Here is a 26989-nt window from a genome sequence, read left to right as displayed (position 1 = left end):
TCTGTATTGGTTATTCTAGTTATACATTCGTCTAAATTTTTTTCAAAGTTTTCAACTTCTTTGCCTTTGGTTTGAATTTCCTCCTGTAGCTCAGAGTTGTCTGATTGTCTGAAGCCTCTTCTCTCAACTCGTCAAAGTCATTCTCCATCCAGCTTTGTTCCCTTGCTGGTGAGGAACTGCGTTCCTTTGGAGGAGGAGAGGCGCTCTGCTTTTTAGAGTTTCCAGTTTTTCTGCTCTGTTTTTTCCCCATCTTTGTGGTTTTTTCTACTTTTGGTCTTTGATAATGGTGATGTACAGGTGGGTTTTTGGTGTGGATGTCCTTTCTGTTTGTTAGTTTTCCTTCTAACAGACAGGACCCTCAGCTGCAGGTCTGTTGGAGTTTGCTATAGGTCCACTCCAGACCCTGTTTGCCTGGGTATCAGCAGCGGTGGCTGCAGAACAGTGAATTTTCATGAACCACGAATGCTGCTGTCTGATCGTTCCTCTGGAAGTTTTGTCTCAGAGGAGTACCCGGCTGTGTGAAGTGTAAGTCTGCCCCTACTGGGGGGTGCCTCCCAGTTAAGCTGCTCAGGGGTTAAGGGTCAGGGACCCACTTGAGGAGGCAGTCTGCCTGTTCTCAGATCTCCAGCTGCATGCTGGGAGAACCACTGCTCTCTTCAAAGCTGTCAGACAGGGAGATTGAAGTCTGCAGAGGTTACTGCTATCTTTTTGTTTGTCTGTGCCCTGCCCCCAGAGGTGGAGCCCATAGAGGCAGGCAGGCCTGTTTGTGCTGTGGTGGGCTCCACCCAGTTCGAGCTTCCTGGCTGCTTTGTTTACCTAAGCAAGCCTGGGCAATGGTGGGCGCCCCTCCCCCGGCCTCACTGCCACCTTGCAGTTTGATCTCAGACTGCTGTGCTAGCAATCAGTGAAACTCCGTGGGTGTAGGACCCTCCAAGCCAGGTGCGGGATATAATTGCCAGGTGCACCATTTTTTAAGCCCTTCTGAAAAGCTTAGGGTGGGAGTGACCCGATTTTCGAGGTGTCGTCTGTCACCCCTTTCTTTGAGTAGAAAAGGGAACTCCCTGACCCCTTGCACTCCCCGAGTGAGGCAATGCCTCACCCTGCTTCAGTTCATGCATGGTGCACTGCACCCACTGTCCTGCGCCCACTGTCTGTCACTCCCTAGTGAGATGAACCCAGTACCTCAGATGGAAATGCAGAAATCACCCATCTTCTGCATCACTCACAATGGGAGCTGTAGACCGGGGCTGTTCCTATTGGGCCATCTTCGGGAAGCATATTCTATCTTTCAAAAAGATTAAAGATGAGAGATGGTGGTGACGTAGTGGAAAACACATACCTTTTGAAGTTGGTTGGTGAATGTTGGTATCGGTTCTAGTTCTGTCAGTTACCAACTGTGTGACTTGAAGCAAGTCAGGTAATGTTTCCACCATGAACCTAAAAAGTTAATGGTAGAAACAATGAACATTTTATAACAATGAAACAATAAAACAATAAAAATGCATATTTCATAAGGTTACTATAAGGATCAAATAGGACATTATATTTGAAGACTCTTGTGAAGTGCCAAGTACTATAAAATTGAAGTTTTAAGTGAAATAACGTACGCAACTACCATTTCACATGATATCTGCTCTGCAGTAAACCCTTAATAAGTGGTAATTGTCTTCTGCTTTATGTCACATTGCTTTGCTGCTTTGGAATTCCTGTTTCCTTCAGAAATGAGTTTCTGAAAAGTGATATTCATCTGGTATCTACCCTCAGAGTCATCTCCTTGTTTCCTTCTCTCCTCTGTCATTTCCCAGAGCTAGTTGCTTCCCTCAGTAAGGCTTTTTATTGCAGGTGGTTGGTATTTTCATGTCTGTTATCTCATCTAGTCACTGTCTTCATTGCAGAATAAATAGGAGTTGGGAAATTAGGAGGTCAGAAACTTGAGGATTTGGTCTCCAGCAACAAAGGAAGCTAAGCTTTTGTTCCATTATAATTCAAAATGTAAAATTGTGGGATGATTTTCTAGCCTCATAATAAATTTGTTTGTCATGTGCCAAAAGTATAATTAGAAGATGTCCTGATTTTTAATTGTATATGGCACATCACTCTCTGTTTAGAAACTTGTTTCTCTTTAAATACATTTCAAAGGTTACATCCTCATATGAGTAAGAATGATTTTCTTGGTAACTCTACGCCCTTTTGTGAAAATCTTGACTGTTTCTGCTTCTGTGTTGCTAAGCGATTAATCAATGCAAATAACTAAGTTAACATTGGGGCTGAGAGAGGTCTTAAAGCAACTGAGAATTGGCTCATAGAAAGGCCAGGGAAAGAGGAAGAACAGGCAGACCCAAGTGACTCTGCCACAGTGGACGAGCTTATGACTCTGTGTTTGTATTTAGGGGAGGGCCCCCTGCAAAGGACACAGAAAAAGGATAGCAGGTGCTTTGGTTTGAATGTTTGTGTCCCCTCGAAAATTCATGTTGAAACTTAAACCCCAACGTGATATCATTAAGAAGTGGGACATTTAGGAGGTGATTAAGTCATGAAGGCAGAGCCCTTATGTATTAGTCTGTTCTTGCATTGCTATAAAGAAACACTGGAGACTGAGTAATTTATAAAGAAAAGATGTTTAATTAGCTCATGGTTCTGCACACTGTACAGGAAGCATAACACGGGCATCTATTTCTGGGTAGGCCTCAGGAAGCTTACAGTCATGGTGGGAGTTCACGGGGGAGCAGGCGTCTCACATGGTGGGAGCAGGAGCAAGACAGTGAGGCGGGAGGTGCCATACGCTTTTAAAGGACCAGATCTCGTGAGAACTCACTATCTCAAGGACAGTACCAAGAGGATGGTACTAAACCATTCATGAGAAAACCATCCCCATAATCCAGTCACCACCCACCAGGCCCCACCTCCAACACTGGGGATTACATTTCAATATGAGATTTGGGTGGGACTTCCAAACCATATAACTTTATAAATGGGTTAGTGACCTTATAAAAGGGATGGGAGTAACTAGATAGGTCCATTTTTGCCCTTCCATCTCTTCCCATATGAGAAGCAGTGTTCATCCCCTCTGGAGAATGCAGCAACAAGGTGCCATCTTGGAAGTAGAGACTATGCCCTCACCAAACACTGAACCTGTTAGTGCCTTGGTCATTAACCTCCCAGACCCCAGGACTGTAAGCTCGAAATTTCTGTTCTTTATAAATTACCCACTCTTTGGTCTTTTGTTAAAGCAGCTTGAACAAACAAAGACAGCAGATGTGTCTAGTTCAGCAAGACACGCTGAGAAGTCCAAGCATGGTGCTTGTACATAGTAGGTACTCAACCTCTAAGTGAGGATTTATTGAACACCTACTCTCCAGGTGCTGTTCCATGCAGGGGTATCATAATGAGGAAAGCAGTTCCTGATCCCAATATGCCTGTGATCCAGTGATAGAAACAAGCAAGAAAAGCACAATGAAAAAAATGTTAAACTCATGTAATTTCCCAAAAATAACTTTAGGAACACTTAAGAGAGAACAACTAACTGCTGGGTGGGAGTGAGGTAAATGATACTGCAGAAAACAATGTGAAGTAGGGTTTGTCACTGGATACCAGCCTGTGCAAAACAAATGGGTAAGGAGATTAAAAAATGCTTTTGATGACAAGCGAGGCAGAATTAAAAACATTATATTCATAAAAAGGTTCTGATGGGTGCTGAGTGAGGAAGTGAACTCAGCACCCATCTGACTCTGGGACCTCTATTCTATCCACCATGTAAGACAACATCTTATTGTCAAGAAGAAATTAGAAGCACACATGTTTATTTAAAAAAAACTGGACATATGATTGAACCATTGTGGGTAACAGAGTTAGAGACAAAGATATTTCACCTTCAAGATTTATGACTCATATTTTCTGCCAGCTCTTTGTGGGCCCCGCTGTGACATTTAACTTTTGATTGCACGAGTGGCGTGTGGTATGTCTGCTGTTGCAGCATTTAGATGTAGAGACAATACTGGAGAAACCTTTGTCTTTGATTCATGAACTAATGAAGGAGAGTGGCTGTGTGCAGAAGTAGAAAGGAGAGTAATGGGCAGTGGGAGTTGGCCACTGCCACTGGAGCAGGATAGAACAGGTTTGATCACCACCCAACTTCCATCATTGTACTTTCCTGCTCAGAACAGCCCTCTCTGTCTCATCTCTTCCCTTCTACACACAAAAAGACAGGTATGAGGATGTACAAGTAGTTGCTAGCCAGAGAGAATTGAGAAGGGCAGGTTATAATTAAGAGTTGGCAGTACAGGTGGCCTTGATGGCAGTGGGAGGGGTTCTTTCATACTGTCAGGAGAGACACTCTCATTCTGGAGGGAATCTGCCTCACTCTTGTTGGGCATAGAGGTTTAGATCTGTAGTGGGATGACCCTGAGAGTGCTGTCAAGAAAGACCTCATAGCATGTCCAAGACTCTTGGACCCAACCTTTGAGCCCCCAACAGCTTCTGTAGGAAGCCTTGTTTCTATGATGTAGAAATTGCAAAGACACAAGACAGGAATTAGAAAGAACTGGTCAGACCTTGAAAGAACAATGGTCTCCCCAATCTAGAATTCAGAAATCTGTAAAGATATTCTTTACCTGAGATGAGCTCCTTAGGATGTTATCGATTCTTTCTCAGTGGAGGGAAAGGAAAAAAATGACTGTCTTGAAAAAAAGAAAAATGGCATTAGGGAATGAGCAGAGAAGTATTCTTGACAAAAAATATTTTAGTAGAAGGAAGCACTCAACAAAAGTCTTAAACCCTCCCTACCATCACCCATCACCCAAGATAACCACATAGAAGGTATGTATAGGCATGAAACCAAAAAAGTTCCCAGAAAGCCCTGGGAAAAAGGATATTTTTCTCAAAGGAGTCTACTAAGGAAAAATATTTTTTTTTCTTGTTAGCCTTTTTTGGTGAATTGAGTGATTCTACAATTATACTTCTGAACTACTCCTGACTGCTGGGACTGTTTGTTTTGTTCTACTTTTGTTTCTTTATGCTACCAGGAGGTGCCATGGTATGTGCAAATGAGGAAAGCTTTTATGGTTCTTATTCTAACAGGGCACAGATCTTCTTGACCAACTCAATTTTTCTTCATAATGATTAGAGAGAAGTTGATCCCATGGAGAGAACCAGCAGCCAGAAAGAATTCAATTAGGGAATTTAGATTAGAAAGGTGAGAGTTAAGTATGATCTGTGGCCATGGCCAGCATCTGACGACTACACTGGATAAAAGCAAAGGCTTTAGCATAAATTGAATAATAAAGACTAAATTTTCAAGGACTAAGCCAGTGTTTTCCAACTTTCCTATTTTTTTTTAAATTTAATACGCTCATCTCACTTTTCCCTGACAATTCTGATACTATTTTCTTTCAAGGGAATCCATCATTATTGACTATCCTTACCTTGCTGCGATGATTTTGTAGTTTTATTTTCTGTAGATTGCATTACAAAAATGAGACACATTGCTTTTTATTTTTTAAACACAATATAATCATATTTAATATACTTTTAAAAGTCCCTTTCTTCATCCTAGAAATTTGGATGCTCTTTCCTAAAAATCATGCCCATTCTCCTTGACCTCTCACATCCCTAGTTGAAAATGCCTGGACAAAACTTTGAAATATATGGAAACAGAGACTAAGATTTTGTAGTAAATATACCAAAGCAAGACATGCACATCCCATTGCAGCATAGACTGCATGGGACAGAGTCGTAAGGTTGTTTAATGTAAGTAAGGACACACATTTCTATGACTAAATGTATATTTATATAGAGGAATAATGCATTAAGAAATGTTTCTGCCCATGGCCCTGCATAGGGCATCCTTGACCTCCTTGTTCTTTAGGCTGTAAACAACAGGGTTCAGCAGGGGAGTGATGATGGTTTAGGTCACTGAGAGAAGGAGGTCTTGTTCTATAGAGTTTTCTGACTTGGGCATGAGGTAGGCAATGGAAGCACAGCCATAATGGACAATGACCACAGTGAGGTGGAAGGCACAGGTGGCAAAGGTCTTCTTCCAACCCTCAGCTGAGGCAATCTTGAGGACAGTGGAGATGATGAGGACATAGGAGATGAAGACCAGACCCATGGGGACCAGGATGACAAATAACCTGACAACAAAATTGATTATCTCATTGATAGTGGTATTAATACAGGAGAGTTTCATGACAGGGAGGATGTCACAGAAGAAATGACCAACCACCGTGTGACAAAAAGGTAAGGTAAATATGGATGTTACCTGGACAGCTGCCATGGCCAGGCCAATGCTAAAGGCTCCACACACCAGCTGGACACACACCTTCTTGCTCGTAATGACCCTGTATCTCAAGGGATTGCAGATGGCCATATAGTGGTCATAGCCCATCACTGTGAGCAAGAAGCAATTGTTGATGGCCAAGGTAACAAAGAAGAACGTTTGGGTGGTACAACCTGCTAGGGAGATTGGCTGGGTCTGGGTTACGAAGCTGGAGAGCATCTGTGGAATGATGAACAGTGTGTACACTGTCTTTGAGCTAGCCAGCATGCTCAGGAAGAAGTACATGGGAGTGTGGAGGTGACGGTCAATGCAGATGATGGTCATGATGATGGCATTGCCAGCCACAGTTAATGTGTACAGGATGAGAAAAACCACAAAGAGAGTGATGTGATGTTTGTGGAATCTGGAGAATCCCAGGAAAACAAACTCTGTTACCTCTGTGAGGTTCTTTCTTCGCATTCTTTAATTGCAATGTCTGAAAGCAATGCAGGAAGTCAACGTGAAGAAATTCTTATCATGACTTGAATTCTAGAACAGGGATAGAGCAATGACTATAGAAAACACTAAGAAAAAAAGTCAATTTCTCTGCTTTGTAATCAGGAGCATTCTCGCTCATGTTATATAACTACTTCACCATCTTCTCCCTTTTCTGTTTTTGCTGTCTTCTTAATCTTCTGGCACTGCTGGCACTGTTAAGCCTCTGGCCAAGGAATTGTCAATATGTGACACCACAACCCATATCTTTTCAAAGTGCCATCATAAATGTGCTGTTTTGTAGCGCATGGAGGGAGGCATTTTCCTTTACAATATGCATGGCACAGGGGTCCCATTGCATGCCATCCTGGGAAAGCCCACACAGCTGAGACAAAAAAAGGGGGTGAGAGAGTTGGACTTACTGAATTAGAACCATAGGTGGATAGCTTCTGGTGACAGTGTAGGGGAGCAGAATCAAGGTCAGTGAGAGCTGACCTTCAGGAACACTTCAGTGGGAGTGAAGATGAGGTGTTCTGGGCCCAGCCTAGATGGTCTAGGGGAGGCAAACCGTTGGCAAAATTGACTTATTGTGAAAGTATTAACAGAGGCTTAAGGTTTGGAGACATGTAAACTAGAGAGAGAAGTGGAAGTCGTTGGAAAAAGAGAGAAGAGAATCAGCAACACAACAGAAAGTTGGACCTTGAATTTAAAAAAAAGTAGCTGATTTCTTTTTTGGCAGAGGGAATTCTAAGAATAAAGAGGTGTACTATTTGATTTAAAATTGTTTGCTGAACTATACTGTAATGTAAACTCCCTTGAGAGCCTCAAGAGACTTTGTTTAAAGCTTTTATATGTATAATTTTCAGTTGGTGGTAGTTAGGAAGTAAAGAGAAGTGGATGATGGCACAGTGCAGAAAAAGGTATGTGCAAGGAGTAAGTTCCAGACTGAGGAAGAAAAACCACTAGCTTGTAATGACTAGAAGAAATACAAGGCCTTCTCCTGCCCTCCCATCCCCCTTACAAGCACACACAATATTTGCTAGAAATTTGGTGAGTGAGCCTGGGATTTCCATCATGTATCAAATGATGATTTGAATCATTTTGCTTAAATAACAAGTAACACTAACAGGCTGGGGGATTTTGGCACACTTAGGGAACTGCCACTAGGAATCTAGGAAATATTGTGGGTGTTTTAGAAAATAGTCCATCATGGAAAATGAGGCAAATGTTTCGAGTAGAAATGAGTGTGTCACTAAAATTAAAGGAATTTGCCTTAAGAGACCACTGAGATACCAGTTGGATAGGCAAAGATTAAAGAGAGTGACAGTGGAACTCCAAGCAGCTTTTTAGAAAGGATAGGATGGAGCTATGGCTGTGTAAATTTAAATTAACTAAAATAAAAGAGAATTAAAAATTCACTTAGTCGGTCATACTAGCCACATTTCAAGTGATAAAAAGCTACATGTGACTAGTGGCCACCATATTGGATAGCTCAGCTATCAAACATTTTCTTTTGTTGGTAAAAGTTATGCTGGACTGTGCTGTTATGGTGTCCTACCATGAACAGATGTGTGGAATACATTAAATAACAACCACAAAACGAGCTATTTAGAGAACAATACTATGATATGCTGCCATATGGTTAGGAATATTTGCATGTGTGTGTGTGTGTGTGTGTGTGTGTGTGTGTGTGTTTGTGGATGTTCATAAATATTTGCATATGTGGGGGAAAAAAGTCTGAAAGAATATGAACTTGATATTATCATGAATTAACAGTTATATTGTGCTGGGGGTGCTATAGGGAACTTTAACTTTTATCATTTTCACAGTGATGATAATGGCTCATTTTAAAATATTTTAAGCATAAAATTATAACTCATAAATAACTTGGAGAAGTCAAGGAGGATGACAACTGAAAACATATATTCAATTGATTAAGAAGGAGGCTACCAATGACCTTATTGCCACAAATCTAGCAGAGTCTTGGGCTGGAAAGCCTGATTATGTGGAGTAAATAAAGAAGAATTTTGTTAATATGTTAGACGAGAAAAACAGATCTCATGTGCCTTTTCCCTTTCCTGATGAGCCTATTGCAATGAGTGACAAAATATGGTTAAGGCTATGTTGAGCCAGGAAAACTATAAACATATTTGGAGTAGGGAAGGGAGGAAAGTACAAAACTGAATTAAATCAGGAGGAGGAAAAATCTTCTGGTATCTTTAATTTAGGAGCTGAAAAGTGCTGCTTTCACCCCAAATCAGCCACCAATTTGTTGTAAATATGTTTCATGTAAATATAAATTTACTTTCTTGGAATAAATTGTGAAGCTATAGACAAGATGGCTAAGGACCCACTAGATGCAGGGAAACTGGGTCAGGTACATAAGCCCAGGAAAAGAAGTTTATTACCTGTGGTATACATTTGAATTGGATTGAATGGGCAACAAAATAATATCTTAATACAAGATATTCATAAAATGTGGGGAAACAAATGCAAAAATGAAAGGTCAGTGTAAGATGTGGGAGCAAGAATAGCCCCTTCAAACCAATGTTCTTTCCTTATTGTTTAGTATTTATTTGGAGGAAAAGTGTGTGGTGTGTGAGGGAAAGGTAAAGCCCTGCCACAGGGGAAGCTATCATTTCTCCTGCATGTGGAGCTCAGCTAAAGGGATCTCCCAACACTAGGCTTAGCCCAAACAAACAAACAAGCCCTACAGTGATTGGGCTTTGTCCTGCACAGAGTGCACTTAGTGCACTTAGTGGCCATCCATACCTCCTAGAGCAGGTGCCATTGCTCGCCCTGATTTTTCCAAGTGTTCTTCCCAGCCACATCACTCTCCATGAAAGGAGTTCTCTTATGTGTTTCACTTCATTTCGCTACCTATCAGCGATGTTTTAGAGTCCCTTTGAGATTAAGGGCAATTGCCTTGTTGTCTCATTTTTTAACCTGTCACTTTCTGAGGTGCAGAAGCAATCTAAAATTATTACTGTTAGAAATTATGGCTCAAATGTCAAATACACAGCTGTTACTGTCCCTGGAAGTGAGGAAGGCCCTGGTGAGAGAGATAAGGAAGTCTGGGACACAGGAGGAAATCACATTGTTAGTTCTCCTCGGTCTTCTTAGAGCCTTACACACACAAAATCAGGGAGCAATGAACACCAACGTTTAGCTTGGGAAGGGAGAAGAGGTCCCAGAGGGTACCATGGAGCCAAAGAAATGTATGGAATGGGTGGGTTGGTCTCACCTGCGGAGGTTTGCCAGGGTGAGTTCTCAGTGGTTAGAATGTGTCTCAGTGAACTTAAGGGCTATGTTAGCACCAGATGGCTACCTCTCTCTCTCTCTCTGTCTCTCTCTCTCTCTCTCTTTTTTTTCTACTGGTTGCTTTTTATGAGTCTCCACCCAGCCAGAAGCGAGTGCAGCTGAGCACAGTAGCAGCAGCCCTTCTACCACCCAAATCTGGACCTTCTCTGGCTGAACCCTAAGGGTGTTTCTGTAGAGGGAACACGCCAGTGGATAATCTCAAAAGCACAGTATAGAACAGAAAGAAGCTTTCAAAATGATTTATACATTCCAGAAGGATAAAAACCCTGTGGGAGAGTAAAAATACTGAAATGTGCTCATGCATCAAAATGTTAGTCATGAAGTCAATATTCCTACCAGAGGAAAAAGGAAAATAAAGTGGAGGGGAAAACAGAATTTGAAAGTGTAAAGGAAATGCCATTTGCAAGGGGAAGAAATTATTACAACAGCCATGGATGCCCCCAAATATTTTGGTCTTTATAAGCAAAATTTGTTGCTGGAAACAGAATCTGTGTTAAAAAAATTAAAATATGCAGGTAGGCAAAACTTCTATAAATATATTTTGTGTGTAAAGGAATTGCACACTTAAAAAAAATAGTGACCTGCCTTTTTGGTAGAGTTTCCATCCCCTCCCTTCCTTTCCCTTATTTTCCTTCCCTTTCCTTTCTTTTTTAAACAAAATAGATCTAAGGAGCCAGGGAAGGAGGACTCAATGACTTAAGAAACTGATGATTACGAGAGCTATTTGAATAAATAAGAGAATAATAACTTTTCTTTTGCATGGAAGCCTTCTCAGACCCAAAAGTGTCCATCCACCTTCTGCAGTCTGTGGAATCTGTGTTCAGTTTTAGAATAATTGTGACTAATTTACAAAAGATCATTACAATTCTAGGAAATCTGATTATTGTTTGTCTGGAAAAATAATTGACAGACTCTTGATGTCTTTAAAAGTTTAGCCTTATTTGATTCTCAGCCTTATTAGATTATTGGGTCACTTACATTTCACTGGACTCTGGCTAAAGCACAGGGTGACATTCACAGAGTCCGTTTGGCCCTTTTTGCTTTGGCTCTAGAAGAGCTGCCCCCTTAAACTCTGTGATTAGGAAGAGACTCTCAGAGGAGAAGTTCTTCTGTCTAGCTCTAGTCACTGCATCAATTTGTCAAGAGACTTACCATGTCTCCCTTGGGTCTGCACAATGAGAATCCAGAAATGAGCCGGGGGATCTCATTACAAGCAGATCACACTAGGAATATTGAGCAAGCTTTGGTCTCACATGGCCTGCTACTTATGTTTCTTCAGGGAAAAAAGTAGCTCAACTCAGTTGAAGATATGTTGTCACATGGCACCATCTTTTCTTCTTTTGAATCCCTGTTAGTGTTTGGTCCTTGGTTAGTTACTGTCAGTGAGAATACATTCGTGTAAAAGTCAGATATGGTGTCTCTCTTTGTATATAGAAAGAGCTTACATCATTTCTCCTGCTAGCAGAGGCCATGCATTGGTTTTGTTAGGTAAAAATTAGTTTTGGGGGTAGGAACTGAAAATGGAGCATGAGTGCTCATTTTGATTTGTCAGAATATAAAAAGAAGTTAGGGCAGGTGATTACATTTTAGATCATCATCCTCCTCATAATTACAGCTAACAATCACTGAGCACTTGCACTGTGCCAGAACAGGGACTGAGTAGGTGTTTTGTATGCATTGTCATACTGAATCCTCATAGGATCCCCATAAGGATACTGAGAGAAGCTGTTGCAACAGCTGGAGCTCTAGATGAAGTATTTGTCTTTGACATCTCACCCCAGGCACAGCTGTGTGAACCCCTCATAGATTATGGGCTTCAGTGAAATATGTCAATAACATTAGATTAGCTTTGCTTCTGGATCCTGTGGTTGAATGTGACATGATGCAGATGCCTTTACCAGTGCCCGAACTCGACGGTGGTCTCTTGAGGTATCTCCCATGTTAAACTCAGAAAAGTGGCCACAGCCAGCCAGATGAAAAGGAGATAGAAAATTCTGGAATACAAATGGAGTTTAGTTTATATGATAATCAGCTATTTAGTCTTGACAAGATAAGGATTAAAGACAATTCAGGTCATGTTTCATTTTTTCTTCTGTCATTTGAATGGTCTTGGACACCTATTATTTCTAAACAATGCAAAGTCTCATGAATACCTAAAAAGTCTCCACATTGCATTCCAAATGTGACTATACATTGATCCTATCCAGTGCAGATAAAATATTTTTTTTAAATTTCCACTTCAACTCAAGTTTTAGCTAAGGCATATCCCAAGCTAAGGGGCCTCATTGCTTTAATCTCAGAGCTCCACCCAGAGTCTCCCACACAAAACTCACAGAAAACTACCTGCAAGCCTTCTCATCCAGGAAAATTATTTATGGACTTCTGTTAAAACCAGTCCTGAAGCTATGTGGCTAAATGCTCTTACCTGTTTTTCTGTAGTCAAAAATAAGAATCAGATCGTTACTTGTATAAGATAGAGACTCAAAAATTGCTTTTCTTATTAGAGATGACTCCTGGTTTTAGCAACTTATTGTACATCTTGTGTACTACTTGTCCCCTAGTATCTAACAGCCTTAGTGGCAAGTATGGGAAAGGGCGTGATTATCTCTGTAATTATTAAATCACTACACAACTATGTTCCTGGGTTATTGCACCTCCAAATCCTTCCATTTTCTTTATAGATTCTGAATTATTCAAGTAGTTTCCTCTGTGACTTTTGCTGATTTCTTTGTTGTGACAACAACTGTATCTGAGAAAAATGCCGAGATGACGTTACCAGAAATTCCATCTTTATTAGTCTGTTTTCATGCTGCTATAAAGACCTGCCCAAGACAGGGTAATGTATAAAAGAAAGAGATTTAATTGACTCACAGTTCCACAGTGCTGGGGAGCCTTCAGGAAACTTACAACTATGGAGAAATGGAAGCAAACATGTCCTTCTTCACATGGTGGCAGGAAGGAGGATCGTGGAGCAAGGGGGGAAAAGTCCCATATAAAGCCATCAGGTCTTGTGAGAACTCACTCACTATCATGAGAACAGCACGAGGGTAACCGCCCCCATGATTCAATCACCTCCCACTGGGTCCCTCCCACGACACATGGGGAGTATGGGAACTACAATTTAAGATGAGATTTGGGTCAGGACACAGCCAAACCATATCACCATCTCTATTATAAATTATGTTAAAATGGACTGTCTTCAGTTTTGAATGAGCCATCAATATGATAGATATTAATGATAAAAATAATATACACAGATTCACTCAAATAAAGAATTCATGAAGGAAATGATTAAGAACCATCTCTACAACTCTTCTACCTTTTGGCTAGAACAAGGTGCCCAAAGAAGACAGAATGTGGAGATAGGAAGGAACTTTTCCAAAGAACTTCTTTGCAGAGAGCTGCTGTTTTGCTGTTGTTGCTGCTTTGAGGGAGTATTAGGTTATGTTATTTGTATCTTGAGAAGATTATTATTTTTTACTTCTTTACCCAACCTCAAGCCTAATGTGGGGGCTTCTGTGGAATCACTGCGGAAGCTTGAAATATCCCTCTTGCTATTGGGAGACTCAAAGGACTTGAGAAAGCTGCAACCACTGTGTAAATAGGAAAGAGTTGTCTATATTAAGACCATCTGAGACTTCTAGAATTTATAGGGACAAGAGATGTATAAGTGCTTCTTTTGGCTGAAATACAGACAACATAGAAGAAAGAGCTTACATGCAGTCATTTTGGATTCTGTTCAAAAGAGCCATTTTAAGAGGCAGAGGGTTCACAAGAACAAGAAACCTGTCACAAACACTGTATCCTGAGATCTATGCAAGTAGTTGCAAATGATCACCAAGAATAAATAATACCTTTAACTTAGGGGAAAGTGAGAGGTGGACTATGATATCAACCTGAGATAGAAGAAAGCTTAAACATGTGAGAGATGGATTACAGTACAGCCTGATTATTGTTAGGAGAAACCCACATGTAGTTAACACAGATTTATTAGAATGTAAATTCTAAAATAGCAAGCACCATGATTGTTTTATTCAATATTATATTTTCAGTACCTGGCATTGCCTGGCGTATTTTTGAGAAGTTGCTCAATAAATAGTTGAATGAATGGATTATATCACTTGGAAGTACACTGGTTTCATTTCTAAAATTGTCTTGGGTTCCTAGGCAAAGGGGTTGTTAAACCAAAACACAGTGTTAGTGAACATGATAGAAATATCTGTTATGCAAGAATAGATAGACCTTTCTAGTACTCACAGTACAAGTTTATGGAAAGGTCGTTAATATTGAGAAAGCGTAAAGCAAGCCTTAACTCATGAGCTGTCAATCAGAAATTAATAATTTCTCATATTGCTAAAATCCCTGTCTACCTAACCAACTCAATGTTCTAAGTAAGTTCTACTTGTCTTAGTCCATTTTGTGTTGCTATAAAAGAATACCTGAGACTCAGTGATATATAAAGAAAAGAGGTTTATCTGGCTCATCGCTCTGCAGGCTGAGAAGTTAAAGATCATGCCTCTGGCTTCTGGTGAGGGCTTTTGTGTTGTGTCAAAACATGGTGGAGAAATTCAAAGGCGAAGTGAACATGTGCGAAGAGAACAAAATCTAAGGGACATCCTGGCTTTATAACAGCTACATCTGGCAAGAACTAATCTGATCCCACAAGAGTTAATGCACTCTCATAAGAGTGAGAACTCACTCATTACCGTAAGAACAGCACCAAAACATTCATGAGGGACCCACCCCCATAGCCCAAATGCCTTTCACTAGGACTCACCTTCCAACAACACCATATTGGGAATAAAATTTCAAGATGACGTGTGGTGGCGGCAAACAAACCATATCCAAACCATCATACCACCTCACCAGAAATGAGGTTGAAATGTTCTTATGAAGCCCCTGCTGCTCCATTTAAGTACTTCAGCAAATCTTCCCAGGTTCTGTCTGCTCTCCTCTGCTTCCACCCCATTGTCCCATTATGGAGTTTCCAGATTCTATCCTACTTCTTCATATCTGGTGACTGCCTCTGTTCATTCTGGCCAAATGGCCTCATGAGTTTGAAATCATGACATTGGTTACCATCCTGAAGCTTCTGGATGCTATCTTTCTGATTCCACTGACTACATGCTCTACTTATTATCAGTGAGAAAAGCCTGTCTTATTTCCCATATATGTAGCTCAAACTCCCTCTGGGATCCTTGCTTCTCTGGGAATGCAACTTATATCTGTTGACGATGTGCCAGGCACTGTGTTCCATGCTTTTCATAACCATAAAAATAACTACTAGTAATAGCATCTGACAATTATTTTTCAGTGTGATAGTTAGGATGTGGCTTGCTCTGCTAAGAGTTGTATCTGAAATGTACATGGAAAGTCCATTTCAGAGAGTATTCTGTGTATACTCTCTGTGTACATTTCAGAGAGAGTAACTGGGACCAGGTTATAGAGGGCAATGTCATATTTAGAGGTTTAAATCATGTCCTGTAAGAAGTGTGAATCCATGGAAGAATTTTAGACAGCATATTCATGTGAGCAATATTCAGAGTATAATATTTTTTGATGACATCAAGAGAACATTATGAAAATCAAGCATTGTACAGTCCTACTGAGGTTTTTGAGACATAAAGTTATGTTTGTCTTCATACAAAATGATCCCAGTCTCATACTTTTTTGGTTTTCATTCTGACTTCTTCTAGTTTTATTCTTCCTGTCTTATTACTTGCTGTCAGGTTCTCAACTATTGCTTACTTATATCATTATAGTTGTCTACCTGATGCAACCTCAGACCCCTTTTTGATCGATTTGTAGCTGGAAAAACAAATAGGAGAATTGTGATTACAATTCCACACATATTTTGAATCGTCATTAAAATGATTGTTAGTAGCTTTTAAGTATTGCCACTGTTGTGCTCATTGAGTGCTCTGGCTTTGTGATATATCTTTCTAGTTACTTACAGGTTTTCCTCCCCGTACTTGGCAATTGGAGTTTTCAGGATAATGAAACACCAATTACCAATGAAACACCAATTAGTAGATAGATAAGTAGTAGACATAAGATAAAGATATGGGACTATGACAAGCACTAAACAAATGCAGGTAGCATAATACAATATATATTTTTTTAATTAGGCAGACATACAGATAGGAAATTCAAAGAAGAAAGAGCTGCAGATGTAAGATCTAGTATCCAGTTGCTTTGACCAGATCTCTTAGACAGTCATTTCATTTTCAAGTGCTCTCGTTGAGTCAAGACCTCAGACCCACACCAAGGGTTTGATGATGACATATCCTCTGATTTCATAGTTCAGAGCCTGCCAGTCCAGGATATTGGCAGGGAGAGGGGTACCCTGATAGGCAGACAGGATATTTTCTGGGGGCAGCACAGAGTCCCACATGTACAAATCCCCAATCTCTCCCACAAAGGACTGGCTCCTATCAAACTTGCCCCCATAGGAATCCTGTTCCTGCCCCAGGACAATCTTGGGCTGAGCTTCTACAAAGTAACCCTGTCGCAGACCCTTTTTCACCAAAGGTGTCCCATTGATCCAAAATTCAGCAATACCTGATGAGGACTCCCAGCTCACACAGATGTGCACTGGAGCCGGGAACTTTTCGATAACTTTGGATGTAACTTTGTGTCTTCCAATGTATAGACTATACTCTCCAACTCTTTCTTTATAAACTAGTAGCTCATTATCCCTGCCTTGGGTATTGTAGGAGAAGAGGCTGTAGGCACGAGAGAGATCACTATAGGCTCGAAAACACAAGGTAAAGTTCTGTAGAGGCTTCTCCAGCGGTGTGATCAAGTTTACATGATCAGTAACAGATTCTCTAGGAAATACAAACACCTTCCCACTGAGGTCTGCGGGATAAAGAAAGAAAGATAATGACCTTCAGTATAAATGCAGGGAAAAGATATCTCAGCTTCAACCTATTTTCTCACTTTATGATTCTTGACCATTCCTTCACCTCCTTACCTGTGTGAGCAAAGGCTTCCAGGAGGCTGGTGAGGACAGAGATCCAAAGCAGCGGCTTGTTCATATTCCTGGCCTAGGGCTGTTATAGCAGAAGCAGTGACCAGGATGAGGGTAGCAGACAACACAGTGGCTGTCCCCCTAGCGTCTGATATTCATGCCCTTAGACTTCAGGTTATTCAGGGTTTATATGCACCTTGGGTGAGGATGGGGGAGGAAGAGCACCAATAATATGTGAGTGATTTTCCAGGTCTGCCTCCTGGCGCTTACGGTGAAGGAGTGGTGAGCCCTGAGCTGGAAAATCAATGGGAGTTATTTATTAGAGACAAGTGATGGCTAGAGCTCCAACTCCTGTGACCCAGATTTTATTGCTGGGAAGAGAGTCATTGCAGGGCAGCAGGGTTATGGATGGGATGAGGCGCTGGGCTGGCCATGTCAGCAGAGCCTCTCTCTGCTCTCTGGGCCCCCTCTCTGATGGCTCTGTGCTCTGCCAGAAGCTCCTGAGCCACACAGAGTGTATCGCTGAGCTCAGCCCTCTTGTGGGCTATGGGAACAAGGCCTTTTCTTTCTTTTATAGTTCTCAAGTTGTCTTGTATTTGTAGGATATTCTAGGATTCTGCTTTCTGCTGAAGACCCTAAAAAGTGCCTTCAACTTTGACTAATTCAACATCAAGTAATACATCCAGGCAAAGCTAAGGGGAAAGAGGGACTTGGAGAATAAACTTTCTGTCCCCATGAAGCTTAGTATTTTTCTGCTACTTCTACTCAGTGCTTTTTTTTCGTTTGCATATCATGGTGCTTCCTTATCCTAGATCTTTCCATTTCTCATTACGACTTGTTTTCTGGTTACTTCATGCTACCTGCAGAGATGTCAGCATCTCCCCAAGTTTTTCTCTCCTCTTCTTTGAGTCCTTGGTCATTGAGTGTATATCTAATCCATCTTTGGTGATGACCCCACTAATACATTTATTCACTAGCTCTCAGTTACTACACTAGGTGCTGGGGATTCAGTGGTCACTGGCTCTCTCACAGCCCCAGAGATCTCCACCTTCATTCTTTCTATGTCTCCTTCATTCTCTCTCTGTACAGTTTATTAACCACCACTCAAACCTTCTCTGCCTCTGAGATATCAAACTGAAGTTCTTCTTTCTAGCCACATTATTTCTTTCTCTCTCATCCCTGAATTATATGGTGTCTTGTTTCTCATCCTACTGTTTAGCCTCTTGTTCACTCTCTCTTCTGTTAGCTCACCACAGACCTAATCAGCCTTTTCAATGACACAATCACTGCCACCAAGAATACACTTTCTCTATCATTGTTCAAAGTATCCTTCCTATTCTCATCCCTGGGGAGTTTCCATTCTCTACTTTTTTTCTCTAAATGGAATCCCAGGTTGTGAAGCCTTATCTGGCTTGTTGCACAGTATAGGTTAGTGATAAAGTTGGGATTATGCATCTATTGACTCCTGAATTAAATACAGACCATTTGCTTGGAAGCCAATGCCATTTGCAATCTGGCTCTAACCTGGCTATTATCTCAGAATCTAATCCTATTCTCCAGTCAAACACCTCTAATTGTTGTTCTTTATACCTTCCTGGCTTTCTTGATTTCATTACTTCTATTCAGTGCCTTCATACTGTCTTGAATTTCTCTCTTATTTTCTTTTCCTGTTTCTAGGAATTCCAGCCATTCTTCCACATTAATCTCAAGCTTATTTAGGTGATGGTTATAGTAAAAGCCCAGACTTCACTATTATGTTATTGCTGTCTATGTAATAAAACTAAACTTGTATGCCTTGAATTTATACAAAAATATAAAAAATAAAAAACAATCTGCTTCATGAAGACTTTTCTAATATCCCAACTATACATTATTTCCCCTCTTTCGTACTTCCCATAAGGTTAAGATCAAAGACTTTGGGATAGAATTCCAATGTTGCCATTTACTAGTGGCTGACTATTCTGCAAGTCACTAAACCCCTCTGAACCTTAGTTTCCTTCTCTGTGAAACAAAGATAAAACTATCTACCTCACAGTGTTTCTCTAAGGATAAATGAGATACTATGATATACATAAAGTACATGGAACAGTATCTGGATGGTTATTATTACCATCATTTTAGAGCCTTTATGGCTGTTACCACTATCTGTCTCATATTATAGATATTATTGTATTTATCTTGAATCCCTTCTAGACTGAATCTGGGTATTAGGACTTATTTATATTTAGATCATTGGTTTCATCTAACAATTTTTCTTACACATGAAAAGAAACTGTTACATATTGTGGAATCAAAGGACTCAACTTTGTGTGAGGATTTTTTTTTTTTTACAAGAAACAGTTTATTAGCAACAAAAAGTAGAATACAATTGAATAATATGATAAGGTAATACTGGAAGTAGGAGCAGGAAGGTAACATTTCTTGAGAACCCAGGGACTATGCAATTCCCTAACATTTCCAGATGTTAATTAATAAGTGCCATAAAACTCAGAGAACACAGGGCTTACCAGATGCTTCTAGTTTTCTTCATAAATAAATAAATAATCATTATCTTAACAAAAAATGGTTTGCAAATTAATATCAAAGAGAGTCTTCTCTAATGGGAGATAAGCCTAGGGAACAGGTCTTGGGGATAAGTGACACAGCCTTAGACTCATGGTGGGAGAGCTTGGAGATAACGGCTTTAGATAGCTGTTGGGGCCAAGTGCAAGGGTTTGCAGTTGAATATGAAAATGTTGTGTTATACACTGTGAAAAGGAAACCCTGGTTGGAAGGTAGGGTCTACAGTATAATTGGAAAAGGGAGAAAAAGTGGAGTCTGATTCTGTTGTCTAGTTTCCTTCCCCAGAATATGCTTCTCAGGCCTTGGAAGAGAACAGCCTGCACTTCAAGAGTTGTCAAAGAGGAAACTGAGAATTATTTTTATTGTAGAAAGGAAAAGTTCTGATGTCAGGATGTAGGAAAATGAATCCTGGGTCTTCAGAACTGGGTGCAATCCTCACAGTGAGCCAATCCTCACTGTTGCTGGATCCTCCTGGGTGCCATCCTGCCAGTGAAAGTTCAGGTCAAGGTGGCGGCTCCTGTCTGGATGGCTATGGAAGAGTTGAGGCTGGGGGAAGAAAAGATACAGTATGCTGAAGAGAAACAGGTCCACCTGTGTGCCACAAACAGAGTTGTCTTGGCTACATTAATTGGCATGCAACAAAGTTTACCCTCAGAGAGCATAGTGGAAGAAGGCATCAGCAGTAGCAGAAAGAGGATCTGACTCGGAGCTTCAAAAAAGCAGAAGTATGAGATATAACTGGAGATCACCTGAGGGATTAAAGAATAACCTAAAGATGGTTTCTGAGACCTCAGGTGTTTGTAGAAGACATTAAGTCACAGTAACCAATGGGAAAGACTGGATAGGAAGAGACTGAGTAGAACAAGATTTGTGTTCAGTAAAGAATTATTTGCTGTGTGTTCTGTCAGTTGTAAGGGAATTTGAGAGCATTTAGATGGAAAGAGGCAATGGAGGCATGCATCAAGAGTAACTGATTATCACTCTGATATGTGGTTGGATAAAACCAAAGATACACAACTTAGACTGATGGCAGGGTCTTATTGTAAGTGCAAAAAAGGACAAAGATGAGAATTAAAAATATATATATAGAATATGGAACCATATTTCTTACTGCAAATCATGTGGAAAAAAAATATGGTGCTGCCAGTACAGATAGGACAATTGAGAGGATGTTCACTTGGAGGAGGTGGAGGGTAGGTGGTAAACTTGGTTCCTCAAATGCTAAATTTGAAATGATAGTATGACTTATGTGTAAGAAAGGTCTTGGAGAATTTGTAATATGTGACGGCCACTTGGAATTAGAAATACAGGTTTCAGAGAAATCAACATATAAATGATAATGAAACAAAAATGAATTTTGTCTTTCAGTGGAAAAGAGAAGAGAGGAAAGGTCAGGGAGCCAACCACTGACTTGAGGAAACATTCACATTCATGGTGTTAGAGGCAAGATAAGAATGGCAGGTGGGGAGGGAGGTGGGAGACAAAAAATTATGTTTGGCAGAGAGGATAGCGTGTGGTGTCATGGAAACCAAGTCAGTGTAAGTGTCCAGGAAGCAGTATCCAGTGGTATTAAATGCATCAGAGAGATCTAAGTTGAATGCATGCTGGATTTAGCAATAAAAACTTCAGTCGTAACCTTTGAAAGAGTAATTTTCATAAAGTGAGCATGTCAGAAGCCAAGTTTCAGGGAATGATGGAGGGAGAAAGAGGAAGGGAGTTTGTTTCCTAAGGTTCAGTAATTCTGACAAAGAACAAAAGGAGAGAAACAAGATTCTCCACAGGAGACTTGGGATTCAATGCATATTTCCCACACAGTTTATAGATTGTCTCTTCTTGACAGAGTGGCTATCATGTCTTTGTTGCCTACCTAATAACATTTCAGCCAACAACAGAGAAAAATCAGTGTCCACCTGAGATTATGACTGACCTTTCTACCAAAGTAGCTCTTTCAGACTCTAAATGCCAGGCTCAGGCTGCTGTGAACTCCTAACTCCCCTTCACAATTCTGGCAGCTTCACAAATTTGTCAGTCACTTTCCAGGTCATGCTGATACACAAGAGTCTTTTCTTGATCTCATTTCTCTGTTCCTAATTTCAGGGTTCATTTATAAAAGAAAATCTCTGCTAAGTTTTTTTTTATCTTCTACTTTTAGGTTTAGTGAGACACCTCGACCATATTACCTCACTGAAATCTCACTTTTAAGTTCAGAATTCACCTGAAACTGCTCTCTGGAATGTCACCATATCTGTATCTTAGTCTTTATCTTTCTTGACATCCCTTCACTCTTACACTTCTTTTTGAACAACCCATCTTTATAGTTTTATAAAATATAGATTTCATTGCTGAGATTAATGTTTATTCATTTTTTAAATATAAATTTTTAAATAAAATTTACCATTCAGACTCCCACTGGCCACAACCATCTTCATGCTGTTCACAATCCCTTCATAATACCTGAGTCTTCTGGGAGGAGATGTGCAAAGAAGAAAAATGTAACAGCAGGGACTCAGTGTAACTCTGTATCTTGAGTATGTTTAAAAGTTCCCTTCTCTGTGTCTAGGAATATATTTTCCAGTCCACAGTGATAGAGAATACATGCACTGAAGATGCAGAAGCAGATTCCTTGCTCGTGCAGCTACAAGAGGTCTTGGCTAGAGCTGTCTTGCGCTACTCTTGTCATCTTGTCAACTATGCCATGTTTCTGCTCATGACAGAAACATGGCAGCACAAGAGTTTTCTTATGCTGATCTATTTTATTGTTATCCCTAAAACTTCAAAATACAAAGAAAGAACCTCACAGAAGCTGACAAAGTTCACCTTGCTGGTTGTCTCCAGCTTCTGTGAATGATGTCATCCACATCTTAACTTCAGCAGGGAATGCCATCATCTTGAGTCTCACCCACATTGGTCATGTATGTTTTCCTGAGAGTGTTGGTTAGTTCAGTGACTTTATACACTCATCCTTATTCTACAATACTTTCTAGTCTCATAGCTCAGAACCAGGAGATTTTCTTGGTCTTTGTCATTTTTTTTTTAATTTCTGGGTTCTTTCTTTCTTTTTTAAAAAAATTTATTTAAGATTTAAAACAATTTTTATGAGTATGTAGTAGGTGTATATATTTATGGGCATGCACTGTGAAATAAGCATATCATAGAGAATGGGGTATTCATCCCCTCAAGCATTTATCTTTTGAATTACAAATAATGATCTTTGCCATCTTGACCACCATTGACTGCTGTGTATTTGTCTGGGAATTCCTGGAGTGCACAGTCTTTGTGAATAAGAGGGCATGTGCCCAGCTGGCGTGTGGTGCCTTTTGCATTGGCCTGATCATGACAGTGGTCTAAATAACCACAGTGTCACAGAGGTACAAAAGGAGCACATATGCTATTTAGACTGCTTCTTGTTTGACACCCTTCTTGTCATGAAACTCTCCTGCATTGACAATACTATCTATGAAATAAACAGTATTTTATTCACCACACATGTGTGCAGGTGTCCATGGGTTTGGTTTGCATTTCCTATATTGACATCCCTGTTACCTCCATCGTGCTTAGAATTTCCTAATCTGAGGTCTTTGCCACCTGTGTCCCCCAACCCCCACCTCATCATGGTCATTGTCTATATGTCTGTGCTTGTACTGCTTACCTCAAGCACAAGCCAATGAATTCAATAGAAAACAGGTCTTCTATAAGAGACCTACATTATCATCATTCATTCTGCCTCTGGACACTGTTGTTTACACTCTGAGGTACATGGAGGCCAAGGATACCATGTACAGAGCTGTGGACAGAAATATTTCTTAACAGATTGACTCATTTCATCAGGAGACCTTTAGTCCAGGGCAATGTTTTTCCTGCTCATAAACATTTTTCATCTCATAAGAAGACCAAATAGAAAGTTCTGTTGTGAATTGGTTCAAACACTTAGACTGCTTTTCTACTTCTAGAAAGAAGGCAGAATCTAGGATTTCTGCTCAGGGTGCACATTACTGCAGAGGCGAGTGGCACTCCAGGAGCATTTTGATGACTTATTTTTATGTGTGAGCGAGTTGATTGAAAATCCTCCTAGCTCCCACTTTACCTGGCCATTTGGTGCTTGACTTTTGTCTTTGAGTGGAGCAGAACTACTGATGATAATGGCAGCAGTGACTTCAGTTAAAGAATCCCAGGGACCACCTGAGACTTTCTGCAGCTCCGTGATTTCAGCTTTATGACCCTTAATTGACATTTCAAAAAGGCTTTCCTTACCATGTGCTGATTGAAAAATAAATAGTTTAGCAAAGAGAGGTCCTTCTTTCCATGAATTTGTCCCCACTGGCCACTTAAATAGTGTGTGTTTAGGTGAAGTACCCTTTACTTCTGTGGGAGGAAACAAAGACTTTTTAAAACCACATTATTGCTGCAGCCCCAGAAGCTGAGAAGAAAGAGAACAGATGGGTGGCTCTTCTCAAAGAATGGTGCCTTCATCTGGATTTCCTCTTCTTAAACATTTATCTTCTTGTTCCTTGAAGGCTTTTAGGAATTATTAATTCCACAGTGGCTGCATGGTAACTGTTGATTAGTGGTGGCTTATTTTGGGTAAGTGGATTTGGTTGTTCTTCTCTAAGCGTGGACCACAATTTTCAATCATTTAAAACTCCAAGTACTGATTTTCCCTTTTTCTGGGTGGGTGAGAGGTAGTGGGATAAGCGGCTTAAAGTTTATTTTTGTGTTTCCTAGTAGAATTTTTCTTCTGAATTGTTCTTCTCTGCTCATATCTTACACTTTTTCCTGGTGAGTAGTTACATGTGTAATTAAGAAAATTGTCATGTATATCCACTGTGAGACAGAGCTACAAGGTACTTTCCCAAAGCCCAGGTATAGTAGTATCTATTTCATACACTACTATATTTCAGGAATAAGTGACTCATTATTAGTTCAGCCCGAGGTAAACTCTTTCCATTTTCTGTCTTATACTTTTGCTATATATATTTTTGTAACCACAGAAGCAGGCCTGAGGCACATTTTTGGTCACTTGTGATCTTCTCTCCCTCCAACAGACTGCTGGAGGTCGAGGGCCCCAGGTATAGTGGGTGCCCTTTTCTCTCATTTGGTGGAACTGTGTATGTTAATAGGTGAAATCAATGCCTCAGTGATAATCAGCACATTTTGTGCCTTCGGGGTGATTCTGAAGCTGAAGTTCCTAGGTCCCTAGGGGGTTCTTGAATGAGTTTCAGTAGGTTTGTAAACTCTCTGAAATTGTGTGCAAAATATTGCAAATGTTTTTTTTCACCAGATTTTCAAAGAAGTCTCTGATCTACCAAAGGTAAGAATCTATTGTTCTGGAATAGAGTTTTGCAAAACTGTTTTGACAAAAAATTACAGTAAGAGGTTTTGTATTGCAACAGTATATGTCTACATGAATACACATATAAATATATCTTAATCAAAATTATCATAAAACAACACAAAAGCTTATGTCAAATCCTGAACTGTTTGAGAAATGATAAGGAGTGCTGTGAGATAGAGAGGTGGGACTAGAGGAGAGAATGATAGAAAATGTATTTGAAGAGGCTAGGCTCCATCAGTGGTGATAATGGTAGGGGCCACCACCATCATCATAATCATCATCATTGGCTACTCTACTCTCTTCTCTTCTACTCCATCCAAACAAGATTGATTGCTTTTTCATCTCTTCTTTCATAGAACTTTGCAAATACCTTCAATATTTTAGTTTGTATTATGGTGTTATTTCCTGTTTTAAAAACATATCTTTTTTTCAATGGAAAATGTTGTCATATTTTCACTCAAAATATAAATGCTGAGTATTGATAAGGCATTTATATTTTGTCTAAGCCAGATAAAGCCTTTACCTTTAAGAAGCTCAGGGTCTCAAGAGAGCAACTAACATGTAAAAAAAAATGCAGATATTGGGGTAGGTGCACAACTAGGTAGGTGATGGTGGTAGAGTGGTAGGTGTTACAAGCCTTTCAGTCAATTTCCAGAGACTTTAAATGATTGCTTCGATAATTCTGATGAGTTGAAAAGATGTCTGTTCAAAAGAAGGTTTTTGCTGAGCTCCTCATGTTACTATTCCCTGAGTTTTTGTGTTTTCATTTTGTGATTTCGCTAATATCCTTTTTATCATTATAATTTCTTTCAATAAATACATCTAGCCACTCTTGAAGTATCAAGTACTGGATCCAGCACTAAGGATGCAGAGATAAATCCTACTTAGTCGGTTTTGGGACGGTAATAATGTAATTACTCTCCCTCACATGGCAGCAAAATAGGAGCAGTAAAGGTTACATTACAGGGAGCTGCTTACAGTTAATGAAGGATTCTAACTATCACTGTGGAGGTGGAAAGCTGCCTACAGGTGGGCTTTGTGCAGGAGGCAACATTTGATTGGGAGCTGAAAAGATGAGTGAAAGTCTGCTTTGTGACAAGGAAAAAAGGAGCATTGCAGACAGTTGGAGAGTTCAGGAAGCCAATGTGCAAGCCAGTTGTGTTCAGGGCTGTTTAGAAAATGCAGAAATTATAGAATATTTTAAAGTATATGAACGCTTTGGATTTTATTCTTGTTGCTGTGAGCATATTTTTGAAGGGTTTTAGACAGAGGAGAGAAGTGATGAGAAGTACACATAAAATAAACGACTGTGACATGAATAAGACAAGTCAAATGCACTAAATAAGAGGCTGTATTACAACTTACAAGATTTCAATCCACCCCAAATTATCTCATACATTCTTTACTCAAGTGCTTGTTTCTAGGACATACCATGACCACTCACACCTTTGTACCCTTCACATTCCACTTTCTTTGTCAAAACCTGTAAGTGAAGGACAGGGATGGTAAATCTCAGGTTTCTGTTTTGGGCAACCAGGTGATCAATGGGTGGTAAGAAACAGCCTCTCTGAAAAAGTGAAACTTAAGTTGAAATGTTTGTTAATAAAAATAGCAAGACATTTTAGATGATTTAAGAAGCAGAAGTTTCCTCAGGAGATAACCACCATGACTCTCTCAAAGGTGGAGCCTCATGGCAGAAGCTTAAGGAGATCTGGTAGTATGGGAAGAGGAAGAAAGGAAGAAGAGCAGTGCTTTCAAAGTACATGGCTTTTTTTTTTTTTGTAATGAGCAGTTTTCATAGGTTTGTCCTACATTTCCATATGTTTCAGTTGAATATATCTTTAAATTAAAACAAAGATTTCAAAGAAGCAATAGGATTCAGAACTCCAAAAAAATCAATGTTATCTTAACACATTTATTGATCACCCACTTTGTGCAAAAAGTCTCTGTTTTAGGCTTTTTTTTTTTTTTTTTTTTTTTTGAGACGGAGTCTTGCTCTGTCACCCAGGCTGGAGTGCAGTGGTGCGATCTTGGCTCACTGCAAGCTCCGCCT

General features: G+C 40.0%; 1 protein-coding gene and 2 pseudogenes across 1 annotated transcript, besides 3 other annotated features; 1 reads left to right on the top strand and 2 right to left on the bottom strand.

Annotated features, from left to right (window-relative positions):
- Positions 355 to 854: an enhancer, noted in NCBI's record as "H3K4me1 hESC enhancer chr1:159573967-159574466 (GRCh37/hg19 assembly coordinates)". NCBI's record gives its function as "activates a minimal SCP1, AML or CMV promoter by ChIP-STARR-seq in naive and primed H9 embryonic stem cells {active_cell/tissue: H9 hESC(naive and primed)}" and the evidence as "EXISTENCE:reporter gene assay evidence [ECO:0000049][PMID:30033119]".
- Positions 855 to 1356: an enhancer, noted in NCBI's record as "H3K4me1 hESC enhancer chr1:159573465-159573966 (GRCh37/hg19 assembly coordinates)". NCBI's record gives its function as "activates a minimal SCP1, AML or CMV promoter by ChIP-STARR-seq in primed H9 embryonic stem cells {active_cell/tissue: H9 hESC(primed)}" and the evidence as "EXISTENCE:reporter gene assay evidence [ECO:0000049][PMID:30033119]".
- On the bottom strand, positions 5806 to 6732 carry OR10J6P (olfactory receptor family 10 subfamily J member 6 pseudogene; annotated as a pseudogene).
- Positions 6171 to 7370: an enhancer, noted in NCBI's record as "CDK7 strongly-dependent group 2 enhancer chr1:159567451-159568650 (GRCh37/hg19 assembly coordinates)". NCBI's record gives its function as "activates an origin of replication core promoter dependent on BRD2, BRD4, P300/CBP, MED14 and CDK7 cofactors, with strong dependence on CDK7, by STARR-seq in HCT116 cells {active_cell/tissue: HCT116}" and the evidence as "EXISTENCE:reporter gene assay evidence [ECO:0000049][PMID:35650434]".
- On the bottom strand, positions 16166 to 17205 carry APCS (amyloid P component, serum). Its single transcript, NM_001639.4, has 2 exons — positions 17046 to 17205; positions 16166 to 16930 (listed from the first exon to the last, which is right to left on the bottom strand). The coding sequence occupies exons 1-2, from the start codon at positions 17107 to 17109 to the stop codon at positions 16323 to 16325; spliced, it is 672 nt and encodes a 223-aa protein (NP_001630.1). The 5' UTR covers positions 17110 to 17205; the 3' UTR covers positions 16166 to 16322.
- OR10AE1P (olfactory receptor family 10 subfamily AE member 1 pseudogene) lies at positions 22811 to 23408 on the top strand (annotated as a pseudogene).

This window comes from Homo sapiens, chromosome 1 (assembly GCF_000001405.40).
Source record: "Homo sapiens chromosome 1, GRCh38.p14 Primary Assembly".
NCBI classification, from domain to species: Eukaryota; Metazoa; Chordata; class Mammalia; order Primates; family Hominidae; genus Homo; species Homo sapiens.
This window is presented reverse-complemented; position numbering and strand designations above follow the sequence as displayed.

Coding starts and splice junctions, on each gene's coding strand:
- APCS (NM_001639.4), bottom strand. CDS start 17,109: ATGAACAAGCCGCTGCTTTGGATCTCTGTCCTCACCAGCCTCCTGGAA. Junction 16,931..17,045: donor GGAAGCCTTTGCTCACACAG/GTAAGGAGGTGA, acceptor TTTATCCCGCAG/ACCTCAGTGGGAAGGTGTTT.